Raw genomic sequence first — 20,952 nt, 5'->3', positions numbered from 1 at the left:
TGCACAGACTACAAAAAGAGTGCTTCAAAGCTGCTCTCTGAAAGGGAATGTTCAACTCTATGAGTTGAATGCAAACATCACAAAGACGTTTCTGAGAATGCTTCTGTCTAGATTTGATATGAAGATATTCCCGTTTCCAACGAAATCTTCAAATCTATCCAAATGTCCACTTGCAGATTCAACAAAAAGTGTTTTTCAGAACTGCTCTATCAAAAGAAAGATCCACGTCTGTTAGCTGAGTTCACACATCACAAACAAGTTTATGAGAATGCTTCTGTCTAGTTTTTATTTGAAGATATTTCCTTTCTCACCATAAACCTGAAAGCTGTCCTAATGTTCACTTCCAGATACTACAGAAAGAGTGTTTCAAAACTGCTGTACGAAAGGGAATGTTCAACTCTGTGACTTGAATGCACACATCACAAAGAAGTTTCTGAGGATGCTGCTGTCTACTTATTATACGTAATCCCGTTTCCAACGAAATCCTCCAAGCTATCCAAATATCCACTTGCAGATTCCACAGAAAGACTCTTTCAAAACTGCTCTGTCAATAGAAAGGTTCAACTCTGTTAGCTGCGTGCATACATCCCAAAGAAGATTCTGAGATTGCTTCTGTCGAGATTTTATATGAAGATATTCCCGTTTCCAACAAAATCCTGAAATCTATCCAAATATCCCCTCACAGATTCTACAAAAAGAGTGTTTCAAAACTGCTCTGTAAAAAGAAAGGTTCAACTCTGTTAATTGAGTACACACATCACAAACAAGTTTCACAGAATGCTTCTTTCTAGCTTGTAGGGGAAGATATTCCCTTTATCACCATGGGCCTCCAACCGTCCGAAACATCCACTTCCATATACTACAAAAAGAGCGTTTCAAACCTGCTCTATGAAAGGCAATGTTCAACTGTGTGACTTGAATGCAGACATCACAGAGCAGTTTCTGAGAATGCTTCTGTCTAGATTTTATAGGAAGATATTCCCGTTTCCAACGAAATCTTCACAGCTATCCAAATATCCACTTGCAGATTCTACAAAAAGAGTGTATCAAAACTGCTGTGTCAAAAGGAAGGTTCTTCTCTGTTAGGTGAGTGCATACGTCATAAAGGAGTTTCTGAGAATGTTTCTGTCTAGTGGTTATGGGAAGATATTTGCTTTTTCACCGTAGGCCTCAGAGCGCTCCAAATATCCACTTGCACATACTACAAAAAGAGTGCCTCAAAGCTGCTCTCTGAAACGGAATGTTCAACTCTATTAGTTGAATGCAAACATCACAAAGACGTTTCTGAGAATGCTTCTGTCTAGATTTGATATAAAGATATTCCCGTTTCCAACGAAATCTTCAAATCTATCCAAATGTCCACTTGCAGATTCAACAAAAAGTGTTTTTCAGAACTGCTCTATCAAAAGAAAGATCCACCTCTGTTAGCTGAGTTCACACATCACAAACAAGTTTATGAGAATGCTTTTGTCTAGTTTTTATTTGAAGATATTTCCTTTCTCACCATAGACCTGAAAGCTGTCCTAATGTTCACTTCCAGTTACTACAGAAAGAGTGTTTCAAAACTGCTGTACGAAAGGGAATGTTCAACTACTGTGACTTGAATGCACACATCACAAAGAAGTTTCTGAGGATGCTGCTGTCTACTTTTTATACGTAATCCCGTTTCCAACGAAATCCTCCAAGCTATCCAAATATCCACTTGCAGATTCCACAGAAAGACTGTTTCAAAACTGCTCTGTCAATAGAAAGGTTCAACTCTGTTAGCTGCGTGCATATATCCCAAAGGAGATTCTGAGATTGCTTCTGTCTAGTTTTTATGGGAAGATATTTCCCTTTTCACCATAGGTGTCAAGGCGTTCCAAATGTCCACTTCCAGATACTACAAAAAGAGTGTTTCAAACCTACTCTGTGAAAGGGAATATTCAACTCTGTGACTTGAATGCACATATCACAAATAAGTTTCTGAGAATGCTTCTGTCGAGATTTTATATGAAGATATTCCCGTTTCCAATGAAATGCTGAAATGTATCAAAATATCCCCTCGCAGATTCTACAAAAAGAGTGTTTCAAAACTGCTCTGTAAAAAGAAAGGTTCAACTCTGTTAGTTGAGTACACACATCACAAACAAGTTTCACAGAATGCTTCTTTCTAGCTTGTAGGGGAAGATATTCCCTTTATCACCATGGGCCTCAAACCGTCCGAAACGTCCACTTCCATATACTACAAAAAGAGCGTTTCAAACCTGCTCTATGAAAGGCAATGTTCAACTCTGTGACTTGAATACAGACATCGGCAGAGCAGTTCCTGAGAATGCTTCTGTCTAGATTTTATAGGAAGATATTCCCGTTTCCAAAGAAATCTTCACAGCTATCCAAATATCCACTTGCAGATTCTACAAAAAGAGTGTATCAAAACTGCTCTGTCAAAAGGAAGGTTCTTCTCTGTTAGGTGAGTGCATACGTCATAAAGGAGTTTCTGAGAATGTTTCTGTATAGTGGTTATGGGAAGATATTTGCTTTTTCACCGTAGGCCTCAGAGCGCTCCAAATATCCACTTGCACATACTACAAAAAGAGTGCTTCAAAGCTGCTCTCTGAAACGGAATGTTCAACTCTATGAGTTGAATGCAAACATCACAAAGACGTTTCTGAGAATGCTTCTGTCTAGATTTGATATGAAGATATTCCCGTTTCCAACGAAATCTTCAAATCTATCCAAATGTCCACTTGCAGATTCAACAAAAAGTGTTTTTCAGAACTGCTCTATGAAAAGAAAGATCCACCTCTGTTAGCTGAGTTCACACATCACAAACAAGTTTATGAGAATGCTTCTGTCTAGTTTTTATTTGAAGATATTTCCTTTCTCACCATAGAGCTGAAAGCTGTCATAATGTTCACTTCCAGATACTACAGAAAGAGTGTTTCAAAACTGCTGTACGAAAGGGAATGTTCAACTCTGTGACTTGAATGCACACATCACAAAGAAGTTTCTGAGGATGCTGCTGTCTACTTTTTATACGTAATCCCGTTTCCAACGAAATCCTCCAATCTATCCAAATATCCACTTGCAGATTCCACAGAAAGACTGTTTCAAAACTGCTCTGTCAATAGAAAGGTTCAACTCTGTTAACTGCGTGCATATATCCCAAAGAAGATTCTGAGATTGCTTCTGTCTAGTTTTTATGGGAAGATATTTCCCTTTTCACCGTAGGTGTCAAGGGGCTCCAAATGTCCACTTCCAGATACTACAAAAAGAGTGTTTCAAACCTACTCTGTGAAAGGGAATATTCAACTCTGTGACTTAAAGGCAGATATCACAAAGAAGTTTCTGAGAATGCTTCTGTCGAGATTTTATATGAAGATATTCCCGTTTCCAACGAAATCCTGAAATCTATCCAAATATCCCCTCGCAGATTCTACAAAAAGATTGTTTCAAAACTGCTCTGTAAAAAGAAAGGTTCAACCCTGTTAGTTGAGTACACACATCACAAACAAGTTTCACAGAATGCTTCTTTCTAGCTTGTAGGGGAAGATATTCCCTTTATCACCATGGGCCTCCAACCGTCCGAAACGTCCACTTCCATATACTACAAAAAGAGCGTTTCAAACCTGCTCTAGGAAAGGCAATGTTCAACTCTGTGACTTGAATGCAGACATCACAGAGCAGTTTACTGAGAATGCTTCTGTCTAGATTTTATAGGAAGATACTCCCGTTTCCAACGAAATCTTCACAGTTATCCAAATATACACTTGCAGATTCTACAAAAAGAGTGTATCAAAACTGCTCTGTCAAAAGGAAGGTTCTTCTCTGTTAGTTGAGTACATACGTCATAAAGTAGTTTCTGAGAATGTTTCTGTCTAGTGGTTATGGGAAGATATTTGCTTTTTCACCGAAGGCCTCAGAGCGCTCCAAATATCCACTTGCACATACTACAAAAAGAGTGCCTCAAAGCTGCTCTCTGAAACGGAATGTTCAACTCTATGAGTTGAATGCAAACATCACAAAAGACGTTTCTGAGAATGCTTCTGTCTAGATTTGATATGAAGATATTCCCGTTTCCAACGAAATCTTCAAATCTATCCAAATGTCCACTTGCAGATTCAACAAAAAGTGTTTTTCAGAACTGCTCTATCAAAAGAAAGTTCCACCTCTGTTAGCTGAGTTCACACATCACAAACAAGTTTATGAGAATGCTTCCGTCTAGTTTTTATTTGAAGATATTTCCTTTCTCACCATAGACCTGAAAGCTGTCCTAATGTTCACTTCCAGTTACTACAGAAAGAGTGTTTCAAAACTGCTGTACGAAAGGGAATGTTCAACTCTGTGACTTGAATGCACACATCACAAGGATGTTTCTGAGGATGCTGCTGTCTACTTTTTATACGTAATCCCGTTTCCAACGAAATCCTCCAAACTATCCAAATATTCACTTGCAGATTCCACAGAAAGACTGTTTCAAAACTGCTCTGTCAATAGAAAGGTTCAACTCTGTTAGCTGCGTGCATATATCCCAAAGAAGTTTCTGAGATTACTTCTGTCTAGTTTTTATGGGAAGATATTTCCCTTTTCACCGTAGGCGTCAAGGCGCTCCAAATGTCCACTTCCAGATACTACAAAAAGAGTGTTTCAAACCTACTCTGTGAAAGGGAGTATTCAACTCTGTGACTTGAATGCAGATATCACAAAGAAGTTTCTGAGAATGCTTCTGTCGAGATTTTATATGAAGATATTCCCGTTTCCAACGAAATCCTGAAATCTATCCAAATATCCCCTCGCAGATTCTACAAAAAGAGTGTTTCAAAACTGCTCTGTAAAAAGAAAGATTCAACTCTGTTAGTTGAGTACACACATCACAAACAAGTTTCACAGAATGCTTCTTTCTAGCTTGTAGGGGAAGATATTCCCTTTATCACCATGGGCCTCAAACCGTCCGAAACGTCCACTTTTATATACTACAAAAAGAGCGTTTCAAACCTGCTCTACGAAAGTCAATGTTCAACTCTGTGACTTGAATGCAGACATCACAGAGCAGTTTCTGAGAATGCTTCTGTCTAGATTTTATAGGAAGATATTCCCGTTTCCAACGAAATCTTCACAGCTATCCAAATATCCACTTGCAGATTCTACAAAAAGAGTGTATCAAAACTGCTCTGTCAAAAGGAAGGTTCTTCTCTGTTAGGTGAGTGCATACGTCATAAAGGAGTATCTGAGAATGTTTCTGTCTAGTGGTTATGGGAAGATATTTGCTTTTTCACCGTAGGCCTCAGAGCGCTCCAAATATCCACTTGCACATACTACAAAAAGAGTGCCTCACAGCTGCTCTCTGAAACGGAATGTTCAACTCTATGAGTTGAATGCAAACATCGCAAAGACGTTTCTGAGAATGCTTCTGTCTAGATTTGATATGAAGATATTCCCGTTTCCAACGAAATCTTCAAATCTATCCAAATGTCTACTTGCAGATTCAACAAAAAGTGTTTTACAAAACTGCTGTATCAAAAGAAAGATCCACGTCTGTTAGCTGAGTTCACACATCACAAACAAGTTTATGAGAATGCTTCTGTCTAGTTTTTATTTGAAGATATATCCTTTCTCACTATAGACCTGAAAGCTGTCCTAAAGTTCACTTCCAGATACTACAGAAAGAGTGTTTCAGAAACTGCTGTATGAAAGGGAATGTTCAACTCTGTGACTTGAATGCACACATCACAAAGAAGTTTCTGAGGATGCTGCTGTCTACTTTTTATACGTAATCCCGTTTCCAACGAAATCCTCCAAGCTATCCAAATATCCACTTGCAGATTCCACAGAAAGACTGTTTAAGAACTGCTCTGTCAATAGAAAGGTTCAACTCTGTTAGCTGCGTGCATATATCCCAAAGAAGATTCTGAGATTGCTTCTGTCTAGTTTTTATGGGAAGATATTTCCCTTTTCACCGTAGGCGTCAAGGCGCTCCAAATGTCCACTTCCAGATACTACAAAAAGAGTGTTTCAAACCTACTCTGTGAAAGGGAATATTCAACTCTGTGAGTTGAATGCACATATCACAAAGAAGTTTCTGAGAATGCTTCTGTCGAGATTTTATATGAAGATATTCCAGTTTCCAACCAAATCCTGAAATCTATCCAAATATCCCCTCGCAGATTCTACAAAAAGAGTGTTTCAAAACTGCTCTGTAAAAAGAAAGGTTCAACTCTGTTAGTTGAGTACACACATCACAAACAAGTTTCACAGAATGCTTCTTTCTAGCTTGTAGGGGAAGATATTCCCTTTATCACCATGGGCCTCCAACCGTCCGAAACGTCCACTTCCATATACTACAAAAAGAGCGTTTCAAACCTGCTCTATGAAAGGCAATGTTCAACTCTGTGACTTGAATGCAGACATCACAGAGCAGTTTCTGAGAATGCTTCTTTCTAGATTTTATAGGAAGATATTCCCGTTTCCAACGAAATCTTCACAGCTATCCAAATATCCACTTGCAGATTCTACAAAAAGTGTGTATCAAAACTGCTCTGTCAAAAGGAAGGTTCTTCTCTGTTAGGTGAGTGCATACGTCATAAAGGAGTTTCTGAGAATGTTTCTGACTAGTGGTTATGGGAAGATATTTGCTTTTTCACCGTAGGCCTCAGAGCGCTCCAAATATCCACTTGCACATACTACAAAAAGAGTGCCTCAAAGCTGCTCTCTGAAACGGAATGTTCAACTCTATGAGTTGAATGCAAACATCGCAAAGACGTTTCTGAGAATGCTTCTGTCTAGATTTGATATGAAGATATTCCCGTTTCCAACGAAATCTTCAAATCTATCCAAATGTCCACTTGCAGATTCAACAAAAAGTGTTTTTCAGAACTGCTCTATCAAAAGAAATATCCACCTCTGTTAGCTGAGTTCACACATCACAAACAAGTTTATGAGAATGCTTCTGTCTAGTTTTTATTTGAAGATATTTCCTTTCTAATTATAGACCTGAAAGCTCTCCTAATGTTCACTTCCAGATACTACAGAAAGAGTGTTTCAAAACTGCTGTACGAAAGGGAATGTTCAACTCTGTGTCTTGAATGCACACATCACAAGGAAGTTTCTGAGGATGCTGCTGTCTAATTTTTATACGTAATCCCGTTACCAACGAAATCCTCCAAGCTATCCAAATATCCACTTGCAGATTCCACAGAAAGACTGTTTCAAAACTGCTCTGTCAATAGAAAGGTTCAACTCTGTTAGCTGCGTGCATATATCCCAAAGAAGATTCTGAGATTGCTTCTGTCTAGTTTTTATGGGAAGATATTTCCCTTTTCAGGGTAGGCGTCGAGGCGCTCCAAATGTCCACTTCCAGATACTACAAAAAGAGTGTTTCAAACCTACTCTGTGAAAGGGAATATTCAACTCTGTGACTTGAATGCACATATCACAAAGAAGTTTCTGAGAATGCTTCTGTCGAGATTTTATATGAAGATATTCCCGTTTCCAACGAAATCCTGAAATGTATCCAAATATCCCCTCGCAGATTCTACAAAAAGAGTGTTTCAAAACTACTCTGTAAAAAGAAAGGTTCAACTCTGTTAGTTGAGTACACACATCACAAACAAGTTTCACACAATGCTTCTTTCTAGCTTGTATGGGAAGATATTCCCTTTATCACCATGGGCCTCAAACCGTCCGAAACGTCCACTTCCATATATTACAAAAAGAGTGTTTCAAACCTGCTCTATGAACGGCAATGTTCAACTCTGTGACTTGAATGCAGACATCACAGAGCAGTTTCTGAGAATGCTTCTGTCTAGATTTTATAGGAAGATATTCCCGTTTCCAACGAAATCTTCACAGCAATCCAAATATCCACTTGCAGATTCTACAAAAAGAGTGTATCAAAACTGCTCTGTCAAAAGGAAGGTTCTTCTCTGTTAGGTGAGTGCATACGTCATAAAGGAGTTTCTGAGAATGTTTCTGTCTAGTGGTTATGGGAAGATATTTGCTTTTTCACCTTAGGCCTCAGAGCGCTCCAAATATCCCCTTGCACATACTACAAAAAGAGTGCTTCAAAGCTGCTCTCTGAAAGGGAATGTTCAACTCTATGAGTTGAATGCAAACATCACAAAGACGTTTCTGAGAATGCCTTCTGTCTAGATTTGATATAAAGATATTCCCGTTTCCAACGAAATCTTCAAATCTATCCAAATGTCCACTTGGAGATTCAACAAAAAGTGTTTTTCCGAACTGCTCTATCAAAAGAAAGATCCACCTCTGTTAGCTGAGTTCACACATCACAAACAAGTTTATGAGAATGCTTCTGTCTAGTTTTTATTTGAAGATATTTCCTTTCTCACCATAGACCTGAAAGCTGTCCTAATGTTCACTTCCAGATACTACAGAAAGAGTGTTTCAATACTGCTGTACGAAAGGGAATGTTCAACTCTGTGACTTGAATGCACACATCAAAAGGAGGTTCTGAGGATGCTGCTGTCTACTTTTTATACGTAATCCCGTTTCCAACGAAATCCTCCAAGCTATCCAAATATCCACTTGCAGATTCCACAGAAAGACTGTTTCAAAACTGCTCTGTCAATAGAAAGGTTCAACTCTGTTAGCTGCGTGCATATATCCCAAAGAAGATTCTGAGATTGCTTCTGTCTAGTTTTTATGGGAAGATATTTCCCTTTTCACCGTAGGCGTCAAGGCGCTCCAAATGTCCACTTCCAGATACTACAAAAAGAGTGTTTCAAACCTACTCTGTGAAAGGGAATATTCACCTCTGTGACTTGAATGCACATATCACAAAGAAGTTTCTGAGAATGCTTTCTGTCGAGATTTTATATGAAGATATTCCCGTTTCCAACGAAATCCTGAAATCTATCCAAATATCCCCTCGCAGATTCTACAAAAAGATTGTTTCAAAACTGCTCTGTAAAAAGAAAGGTTCAACTCTGTTAGTTGAGTACACACATCACAAACAAGTTTCACACAATGCTTCTTTCTAGCTTGTAGGGGAAGATATTCCCTTTATCACCATGGGCCTCCAACCGTCCGAAACATCCACTTCCATATACTACAAAAAGAGCGTTTCAAACCTGCTCTATGAAAGGCAATGTTCAACTCTGTGACTTGAATGCAGACATCACAGAGCAGTTTCTGAGAATGCTTTCTGTCTAGATTTTATAGGAAGATATTCCCGTTTCCAAAGAAATCTTCACAGCTATCCAAATATCCACTTGCAGATTCTACAAAAAGAGTGTATCAAAACTGCTCTTTCAAAAGGAAGGTTCTTCTCTGTTAGTTGAGTACATACGTCATAAAGGAGTTTCTGAGAATGTTTCTGTCTAGTGGTTATGGGAAGATATTTTCTTTTTCACCGTAGGCCTCAGAGCGCTCCAAATATCCACTTGCACATACTACAAAAAGAGTGCTTCAAAGCTGCTCTCTGAAACGGAATGTTCAACTCTATGAGTTGAATGCAAACATCACAAAGACGTTTCTGAGAATGCTTCTGTCTAGATTTGATATGAAGATATTCCCGTTTCCAACGAAATCTTCAAATCTATCCAAATGTCCACTTGCAGATTCAACAAAAAGTGTTTTTCGAAACTGCTGTATCAAAAGAAAGATCCACGTCTGTTAGCTGAGTTCACACATCACAAACAAGTTTATGAGAATGCTTCTGTCTAGTTTTTATTTGAAGATATTGCCTTTCTCACCATAGACCTGAAAGCTGTCCTAATGTTCACTTCCAGATACTACAGAAAGAGTGTTTCAAAACTGCTGTACGAAAGGGAATGTTCAACTCTGTGACTTGAATGCACACATCACAAAGAAGTTTCTGAGGATGCTGCTGTCTACTTTTTATACCTAATCCCGTTTCCAACGAAATCCTCCAAGCTATCCAAATATCCACTTGCAGATTCCACAGAAAGACTGTTTCAAAACTGCTCTGTCAATAGAAAGGTTCAACTCTGTTAGTTGCGTGCATATATCCCAAAGAAGATTCTGAGATTGCTTCTGTCTAGTTTTTATGGGAAGATATTTCCCTTTTCACCGTGGGCGTCAAGGCGCTCCAAATGTCCACTTCCGGATACTACAAAAAGAGTGTTTCAAACCTACTCTGTGAAAGGGAATATTCAACTCTGTGACTTGAATGCACATATCACAAGGAAGTTTCTGAGAATGCTTCTGTCGAGATTTTCTATGAAGATATTCCCGTTTCCAACGAAATCCTGAAATCTATCCAAATATCCCCTCGCAGATTCTACAAAAAGAGTGTTTCAAAACTGCTCTGTAAAAAGAAAGGTTCAACTCTATTAGTTGAGTACACACATCACAAACAAGTTTCACAGAATGCTTCTTTCTAGCTTGTAGGGGAAGATATTTCCTTTATCACCATGGGCCTCAAACCATCCGAAACGTCCACTTCCATATACTAAAAAAAGAGTGTTTGAAACCTGCTCTATGAAAGGCAATGTTCAACTCTGTGACTTGAATGCAGACATCACAGAGCAGTTTCTGAGAATGCTTCTGTCCAGACTTTATAGGAAGATATTCCCGTTTCCAAGGAAATCTTCACAGCTATCCAAATATCCACTTGCAGATACTACAAAAAGAATGTATCAAAAATGCTCTGTCAAAAGGAAAGTTCTTCTCTGCTAGTTGAGTACATACGTCATAAAGAAGTTTCTGAGAATGTTTCTGTCTAGTGGTTATGGGAAGATATTTGCTTTTTCACCGTAGGCCTCAGAGCGCTCCAAATATCCACTTGCACATACTACAAAAAGAGTGCCTCAAAGCTGCTCTCTGAAAGGGAATGTTCAACTCTATGAGTTGAATGCAAACATCGCAAAGACGTTTCTGAGAATGCTTCTGTCTAGATTTGATATGAAGATATTCCCGTTTCCAACGAAATCTTCAAATCTATCCAAATGTCCACTTGCAGATTCAACAAAAAGTGTTTTTCAGAACTGCTCTATCAAAAGAAAGATCCACCTATGTTAGCTGAGTTCACACATCACAAACAAGTTTATGAGAATGCTTCTGTCTAGTTTTTATTTGAAGATATTTCCTTTCTCACCATAGACCTGAAAGCTGTCCTAGTGTTCACTTCCAGATACTACAGAAAGAGTGTTTCAAAACTGCTGTACGAAAGGGAATGTTCAACTCTGTGACTTGAATGCACACATCACAAAGAAGTTTCTGAGGATGCTGCTGTCTACTTTTTATACGTAATCCCGTTTCCAACGAAATCCTCCAAGCTATCCAAATGTCCACTTGCAGATTCCACAGAAAGACTGTTTCAAAACTGCTCTGTCAATAGAAAGGTTCAACTCTGTTAGCTGCGTGCATATATCCCAAAGAAGATTCTGAGATTGCTTCTGTCTAGTATTTATGGGAAGATATTTCCCTTTTCACCGTAGGTGTCAAGGTGCTCCAAATGTCCACTTCCAGATACTACAAAAAGAGTGTTTCAAACCTACTCTGTGAAAGGGAATATTCAACTCTGTGACTTGAATGCAGATATCACAAAGAAGTTTCTGAGAATGCTTCTGTCGAGATTTTATATGAAGATATTCCCGTTTCCAACGAAATCCTGAAATCTATCCAAATATCCCCTCGCAGATTCTTCAAAAAGAGTGTTTCAATACTGCTCTGTAAAAAGAAAGGTTCAACTCTGTTAGTTGAGTACACACATCACAAACTAGTTTCACAGAATGCTTCTTTCTAGCTTGTAGGGGAAGATATTCCCTTTATCACCATGGGCCTCAAACCGTCCGAAATGTCCACTTCCATATACTACAAAAAGAGTGTTTCAAACCTGCTCTATGAAAGGCAATGTTCAACTCTGTGACTTGAATGCAGACATCACAGAGCAGTTTCTGAGAATGCTTCTGTCTAGATTTTATAGGAAGATATTCCCGTTTCCAACGAAATCTTCACAGCTATCCAAATATCCACTTGCAGATTCTACAAAAAGAGTGTATCTAAACTGCTCTGTCAAAAGGAAGGTTCTTTTCTGTTAGGTGAGTGCATACGTCATAAAGGAGTTTCTGAGAATGTTTCTGTCTAGTGGTTATGGGAAGATATTTGCTTTTTCACCGTAGGCCTCAGAGCGCTCCAAATATCCACTTGCACATACTACAAAAAGAGTGCCTCAAAGCTGCTCTCTGAAACGGAATGTTCAACTCGATGAGTTGAATGCAAACATCGCAAAGACGTTTCTGAGAATGCTTCTGTCTAGATTTGATATGAAGATATTCCCGTTTCCAACGAAATCTTCAAATCTATCCAAATGTCCACTTGCAGATTCAACAAAAAGTGTTTTTCCGAACTGCTCTATCAAAAGAAAGATCCGCCTCTGTTAGCTGAGTTCACACATCACAAACAAGTTTATGAGAATGCTTTCTATCTAGTTTTTATTTGAAGATATTTCCTTTCTCACCATAGACCTGAAAGCTGTCCTAATGTTCACTTCCAGATACTACAGAAAGAGTGTTTCAAAACTGCTGTACGAAAGGGAATGTTCAACTCTGTGACTTGAATGCACACATCACAAAGAATGATTTCTGAGGATGCTGCTGTCTACTTTTTATACGTAATCCCCTTTGCAACGAAATCCTCCAATCTATCCAAATATCCACTTGCAGATTCCACAGAAAGACAGTTTCAAAACTGCTCTGTCAATAGAAAGGTTCAACTCTGTTAGCTGCGTGCATATATCCCAAAGAAGATTCTGAGATTGCTTCTGTCTAGTTTTTATGGGAAGATATTTCCCTTTTCACCGTAGGCGTCAAGGCGCTCCAAATGTCCACTTCCAGATACTACAAAAAGAGTGTTTCAAACCTACTCTGTGAAAGCGAATATTCAACTCTGTGACTTGAATGCACATATCACAAAGAAGTTTCTGAGAATGCTTCTGTCGAGGTTTTATATGAAGATATTCCCGTTTCCAACGAAATCCTGAAATCTATCCAAATATCCCCTCGCAGATTCTACAGAAAGAGTGTTTCAAAACTGCTCTGTAAAAAGAAAGGTTCAACTCTGTTACTTGAGTACACACATCACAAACAAGTTTCACAGAATGCTTCTTTCTAGCTTGTAGGGGAAGATATTCCCTTTATTACCATGGGCCTCAAACCGTCCGAAAAGTCCACTTCCATATACTACAAAAAGAGCGTTTCAAACCTGCTCTATGAAAGGCAATGTTCAACTCTGTGACTTGAATGCAGACATCACAGAGCAGTTTCTGAGAATGCTTCTGTCTAGATTTTATAGGAAGATATTCCCGTTTCCAACGAAATCTTCACAGCTATCCAAATATCCACTTGCAGATTCTACAAAAAGAGTGTATCAAAACTGCTCTGTCAAAAGGAAGGTTCTTCTCTCTTAGGTGAGTACATACGTCATAAAGGAGTTTCTGAGAATGTTTCTGTCTAGTGGTTATGGGAAGATATTTGCTTTTTCACCGTAGGCCTCAGAGCGCTCCAAATATCCACTTGCACATAGTACAAAAAGAGTGCTTCAAAGCTGCTCTCTGAAAAGGAATGTTCAACTCTATGAGTTGAATGCAAACATCACAAAGACGTTTCTGAGAATGCTTCTGTCTAGATTTGATATGAAGATATTCCCGTTTCCAACGAAATCTTCAAATCTATCGAAATGTCCACTTGCAGATTCAACAAAAAGTGTTTTTCAGAACTGCTCTATCAAAAGAAAGATCCACCTCTGTTAGCTGAGTTCACACATCACAAACAAGTTTATGAGAATGCTTCTGTCTAGTTTTTAGTTGAAGATATTTCCTTTCTCACCATAGACCTGAAAGCTGTCCTAATGTTCACTTCCAGATACTACAGAAAGAGTGTTTCAAAACTGCTGTACGAAAGGGAATGTTCAACTCTGTGACTTGAATGCACACATCACAAAGAAGTTTCTGAGGATGCTGCTGTCTACTTTTTATACGTAATCCCGTTTCCAACGAAATCCTCCAAGCTATCCAAATATCCACTTGCAGATTCCACAGAAAGACTGTTTCAAATCTGCTCAGTCAATAGAAAGGTTCAACTCTGTTTGCTGCGTGCATATATCCCAAAGAAGATTCTGAGATTGCTTCTGTCTAGTTTTTATGGGAAGATATTTCCCTTTTCACCGTAGGTGTCAAGGCGCTCCAAATGTCCACATCCAAATACTACAAAAAGAGTGTTTCAAACCTACTCTGTGAAAGGGAATATTCAACTCTGTGACTTGAATGCACATATCACAAAGAAGTTTCTGAGAATGCTTCTGTCGAGATTTTATATGAAGATATTCCCGTTTCCAACGAAATCCTGAAATGTATCCAAATATCCCCTCGCAGATTCTACAAAAAGAGTGTTTTAAAACTGCTCTGTAAAAAGAAAGGTTCAACTCTGTTAGTTGAGTACACACATCACAAACAAGTTTCACACAATGCTTCTTTCTAGCTTGTAGGGGAAGATATTCCCTTTATCACCATGGGCCTCAAACCGTCCGAAACGTCCACTTCCATATACTACAAAAAGAGAGTTTCAAACCTGCTCTATGAAAGGCAATGTTCAACTCTGTGACTTGAATGCAGACATCACAGAGCAGTTTCTGAGAATGCTTCTGTCTAGATTTTATAGGAAGATATTCCCGTTTCCAACGAAATCTTCACAGCTATCCAAATATCCACTTGCAGATTCTACAAAAAGAGTGTATCAAAACTGCTCTGTCAAAAGGAAGGTTCTTTTCTGTTAGGTGAGTGCATACGTCATAAAGGAGTTTGCTGAGAATGTTTAAGTCTAGTGGTTATGGGAAGATATTTGCCTTTTCACCTTAGGCCTCAGAGCGCTCCAAATATCCACTTGCACATACTACAAAAAGAGTGTTTCAAAGCTGCTCTCTGAAAGGGAATGTTCAACTCTATGAGTTGAATGCAAACATCACAAAGACGTTTCTGAGAATGCTTCTGTCTAGATTTTATATGAAGATATTCCCGTTTCCAACGAAATCTTCAAATCTATCCAAATGTCCACTTGCAGATTCAACAAAAAGTGTTTTTCAGAACTGCTCTATCAAAAGAAAGATCCACCTCTGTTAGATGAGTTCACACATCACAAACAAGTTTATGAGAATGCTTCTTGTCTAGTTTTTATTTGAAGATATTTTCTTTCTCACCATAGACCTGAAAGCTGTCCTAATGTTCACTTCCAGATACTACAGAAAGAGTGTTTCAAAACTGCTGTACAAAAGGGAATGTTCAACTCTGTGACTTGAATGCACACATCACAAAGAAGTTTCTGAGGATGCTGCTGTCTACTTTTTATACGTAATCCCGTTTCCAACGAAATCCTCCAAGCTATCCAAATATCCACTTGCAGATTCCACAGAAAGACTGTTTCAAAACTGCTCTGTCAATAGAAAAGTTCAACTCTGTTAGCTGTGTGCATATATCCCAAAGAAAATTCTGAGATTGCTTCTGTCTAGTTTTTATGGGAAGATATTTCCCTTTTCACAATAGGTGTCAAGGCGCTCCAAATGTCCACTTCCAGATACTACAAAAAGAGTGTTTCAAACCTACTCTGTGAAAGGGAATATTCAACTCTGTGACTTGAATGCAGATATCACAAAGAAGTTTCTGAGAATGCTTCTGTCGAGATTTTATATGAAGATATTCCCGTTTCCAACAAAATCCTGAAATGTATCCAAATATCCCCTCGCAGATTGTACAAAAAGAGTGTTTCAAAACTGCTCTGTAAAAAGAAAGGTTCAACTCTGTTAGTTGAGTACACACATCACAAATAAGTTTCACACAATGCTTCTTTCTAGCTTGTAGGGGAAGATATTTCCTTTATCACCATGGGCCTCAAACCGTCCGAAACGTCCACTTCCATATACTAAAAAAAGAGTGCTTGAAACCTGCTCTATGAAAGGCAATGTTCAACTCTGTGACATGAAAGCAAACATCACAGAGCAGTTTCTGAGAATGCTTCTGTCTAGATTTTATAGGAAGATATTCCCGTTTCCAACGAAATCTTCACAGCTATCCAAATATCCACTTGCATATTCTACAAAAAGAGTGTATCAAAACTGCTCTGTCAAAAGGAAGGTTCTTCTCTGTTAGGTGAGTGCATACGTCATAAAGGAGTTTCTGAGAATGTTTCTGTCTAGTGGTTATGGGAAGATATTTGCTTTTTCCCCGTAGGCCTCAGGGCGCTCCAAATGTCCACTTGCACATGCTACAAAAAGAGTGCCTCAAAGCTGCTCTCTGGAAGGGAATGTTCAACTCTATGAGTTGAATGCAAACATCACAAAGAGGTTTCTGAGAATGCTTCTGTCTAGATTTGATATGAAGATATTCCCGTTTCCAACGAAATCTTCAAATCTATCCAAATGTCCACTTGCAGATTCAACAAAAAGTGTTTTTCAGAACTTCTCTATCAAAAGAAAGATCCACCTCTCTTAGCTGAGTTCACACATCAGAAACAAGTTTATGAGAATGCTTCTGTCTAGTTTTTATTTGAAGATATTTCCTTTCTCACCATAGTACCTGAAAGCTGTCCTAATGTTCACTTCCAGTTACTACAGAAAGAGTGTTTCAAAACTGCTGTACGAAAGGGAATGTTCAACTCTGTGACTTGAATGCACACATCACAAAGAAGTTTCTGAGGATGCTGCTGTCTACTGTTTATACTTAATCCCGTTTCCAACGAAATCCTCCAAGCTATCCAAATATCCACTTGCAGATTCCACAGAAAGACTGTTTCAAAACTGCTCTGTCAATAGAAAGGTTCAACTCTGTTAGCTGCGTGCATATATCCCAAAGAAGATTCTGAGATTGCTTCTGTCTACTTTTTATGAGAAGATATTTCCCTTTTCACCGTAGGCGTCAAGGTGCTCAAAATGTCCACTTCCAGATACTACAAAAAGAGTGTTTCAAACCTACTCTGTGAAAGGGAATATTCAACTCTGTGACTTGAATGCACATATCACAAAGAAGGTTCTGAGAATGCTTCTGTCGAGATTTTATATGAAGATATTCCCGTTTCCAACGAAATCCTGAAATCTATCCAAATATCCCCTCGCAGATTCTACAAAAAGAGTGTTTCAAAGCTGCTCTGTAAAAAGAAAGGTTCAACTCTGTTAGTTGAGTACACACATCACAAACAAGTTTCACAGAATGCTTCTTTCTAGCTTGTAGGGGAAGATATTCCCTTTATCACCATGGGCCTCAAACCGTCCGAAACGTCCACTTCCATATAGTACAAAAAGAGCGTTTCAAACCTGCTCTAGGAAAGGCAATGTTCAACTCTGTGACTTGAATGCAAACATCACAGAGCAGTTTCTGAGAATGCTTCTGTCTAGACTTTATAGGAAGATATTCCCGTTTCCAACGAAATCTTCACAGCTATCCAAATATCCACTTGCAGATTCTACAAAAAGAGTGTATCAAAACTGCTCTGTCAAAAGGAAGGTTCTTTTGCTGTTAGGTGAGTGCATACGTCATAAAGGAGTTTCTGAGAATGTTTTCTGTCTAGTGGTTATGGGAAGATATTTGCTTTTTCCCCGTAAGCCTCAAAGCGCTCCAAATGTCCACTTGAACATACTACAAAAAGAGTGCTTCAAAGCTGCTCTCTGAAAGGGAATGTTCAACTCTATGAGTTGAATGCAAACATCACAAAGACGTTTCTGAGAATGCTTCTGTCTAGACTTGATATGAAGATATTCCCGTTTCCAACGAAATCTTCAAATCTATCCAAATGTCCACTTGCAGATTCAACAAAAAGTGTTTTTCAGAACTGCTCTATCAAAAGAAAGATCCACCTCTGTTAGCTGAGTTCACACATCACAAACAAATTGATGAGAATGCTTCTGTCTACTTTTTATTTGAAGATATTTCCTTTCTCACCATAGACCTGAACGCTGTCCTAATGTTCACTTCCAGATACTACAGAAAGAGTGTTTCAAAACTGCTGTACGAAAGGGAATGTTCAACTCTGTGACTTGAATGCACACATCACAAGGAAGTTTCTCAGGATGCTGCTGTCTATTTTTTATACGTAATCCCGTTTCCAACGAAATCCTCCAAGCTATCCAAATATCCACTTGCAGATTCCACAGAAAGACTGTTTCAAAACTGCTCTGTCAATAGAAAGGTTCAACTCTGTTAGCTGCGTGCATATATCCCAAAGAAGATTCTGAGATTGCTTCTGTCTAGTTTTTATGGGAAGATATTTCCCTTTTCACCGTGGGCGTCAAGGCGCTCCAAATGACCACTTCCAGATACTACAAAAAGAGTGTTTCAAACCTACTCTGTGAAAGGGAATATTCAACTCTGTGACTTGAATGCACATATCACAAGGAAGTTTCTGAGAATGCTTCTGTCAAGATTTTATATGAAGATATTCCCGTTTCCAACGAAATCCTGAAATCTATCCAAATATCCCCTCGCAGATTCTACAAAAAGAGTGTTTCAAAACTGCTCTGTAAAAAGAAAGGTTCAACTCTGTTAGTTGAGTACACACATCACAAACAAGTTTCACAGAATGCTTCTTTCTAGCTTGTAGGGGAAGATATTTCCTTTATCACCATGGTCCTCAAACCGTCCGAAACGTCCACATCCATATACTAAAAAAAGAGTGTTTGAAACCTGCTCTATGAAAGGCAACGTTCAACTCTGTGACTTGAATGCAGACATCACAGAGCAGTTTCAGAGAATGCTTCTGTCTAGATTTTATAGGAAGATATTCCCGTTTCCAACAAAATCTTCACAGCTATCGAAATATCCACTTGCAGATTCTACAAAAAGAGTGTATCAAAACTGCTCTGTCAAAAGGAAGGTTCTTCTCTGTTAGGTGAGTGCATACGTCATAAAGGAGTTTCTGAGAATGTTTTCTGTCTAGTGGTTATGGGAAGATATTTGCTTTTTCACCGTAGGCCCCAGAGCACTCCAAATATCCACTTGCACATACTACAAAAAGAGTGCTTCAAAGCTGCTCTCTGAAACGGAATGTTCAACTCTATGAGTTGAATGCAATCATCACAAAGACGTTTCTGAGAATGCTTCTGTCTAGATTTCATATGAAGGTATTCCTGTTTCCAACGAAATCTTCAAATCTATTCAAATGTCCACTTGCAGATTCAACAAAAAGTGTTTTTTAAAACTGCTGTTTCAAAAGAAAGATCCACCTCTGTTAGCTGAGTTCGCACTTCACAAACAAGTTTATCAGAATGCTCTGTCTAGTTTTTATTTGAAGATATTTCCTTTCTCACCATAGACCTGAAAGCTGTCCTAATGTTCACTTCCAGATACTACAGAAAGAGTGTTTCAAAACTGCTGTACGAAAGGGAATGTTCAACTCTGTGACTTGAATGCACACATCACAAAGAAGTTTCTGAGGATGCTGGCTGTCTACTTTTTATACGTAAACCCGTTTCCAACGAAATCCTCCAATCTATCCAAATATCCACTTGCAGATTCCACAGAAAGACTGTTTCAAATCTGCTCTGTCAATAGAAAGATTCAACTCTCTTAGCTGCGTGCATATATCCCAAAGAAGATTCTGAGATTGCTTCTGTCTAGTTTTTATGGGAAGATATTTCCCTTTTCACCGTAGGCGTCAAGGCGCTCCAAATGTCCACTTCCAGATACTACAAAAAGAATGTTTGAAACCTACTCTGTGAAAGGGAATATTCAACTCTGTGACTTGAATGCAGATATCACAAAGAAGTTTCTGAGAATGCTTCTGTCGAGATTTTATATGAAGATATTCCCCTTTCCAAAGAAATCCTGAAATCTATCCAAATATCCCCTCGCAGATTCTACAAAAAGAGTGTTTCAAAACTGCTCTGTAAAAAGAAAGGTTCAACTCTGTTAGTTGAGTACACACATCACAAACAAGTTTCACAGAATGCTTCTCTTTCTAGCTTGTAGAGGAAGATATTCCCTTTATCACCATGGGCCTCCAACCGTCCGAAACATCCACTTCCATATACTACAAAAAGAGCGTTTCAAACCTGCTCTATGAAAGGCAATGTTCAACTCTGTGACTTGAATGCAGACATCACAGAGCAGTTTCTGAGAATGCTTTCTGTCTAGATTTTATAGGAAGATATTCCCGTTTCCAACGAAATCTTCACAGGTATCCAAATATTCACTTGCAGATTCTACAAAAAGAGTGTATCAAAACTGCTCTGTCAAAAGGAAGGTTCTTCTCTGTTAGGTGAGTGCATACGTCATAAAGGAGTTTCTGAGAATGTTTCTGTCTAGTGGTTATGGGAAGATATTTGCTTTTTCACCGTAGGCCTCAGAGCGCTCCAAATATCCACTTGCACATACTACAAAAAGAGTGCTTCAAAGCTGGTCTCTGAAACGGAATGTTCAACTCTATGAGTTGAATGAAAACATCACAAAGACGTTTCTGAGAATGCTTCTGTCTAGATTTGATATGAAGATATTCCCGTTTCCAACGAAATCTTCATATCTATCCAAATGTCCACTTGCAGATTCAACAAAAAGTGTTTTTCAAAACTGCTGTATCAAAAGAAAGATCCACGACTGTTAGCTGAGTTTACACATCACAAACAAATTTATGAGAATGTTTCTGTCTAGTTTTTATTTGAAGATATTTCCTTTCTCACCATAGACCTGAAAGCTGTCCTAATGTTCACTTCCAGATACTACAGAAACAGTGTTTCAAAACTGCTGTACGAAAGGGAATGTTCAACTCTGTGACTTGAATGCACACCTCACAAATAAGTTTCTGAGGATGCTGCTGTCTACTTTTTATACGTAATCCCGTTTCCAACGAAATCCTCCAATCTATCCAAACATCCACTTGCAGATTCCACAGAAAGACTGTTTCAAAACTGCTCTGTCAATAGAAAGGTTCAACTCTGTTAGCTGCGTGCATATATCCCAAAGAAGATTCTGAGATTGCTTCTGTCTAGTTTTTACGGGAAGATATTTCCCTT

General features: G+C 38.7%; 1 annotated feature.

Annotated features, from left to right (window-relative positions):
• Positions 1–20,952: part of a centromere (Linear centromere model derived predominantly from reads generated in PMID: 17803354. This region does not represent an actual centromere sequence, as long-range ordering of repeats and unmapped WGS contigs is not provided by the model. For details of model production, see http://arxiv.org/abs/1307.0035.) that runs on past both edges of the window.

This window comes from Homo sapiens, chromosome 13 (genome assembly GCF_000001405.40).
Source record: "Homo sapiens chromosome 13, GRCh38.p14 Primary Assembly".
Taxonomy (NCBI): Eukaryota; Metazoa; Chordata; class Mammalia; order Primates; family Hominidae; genus Homo; species Homo sapiens.
Note: the sequence above shows the minus strand (reverse complement) of the source record. Positions and strands in the feature narration are given on the sequence as shown.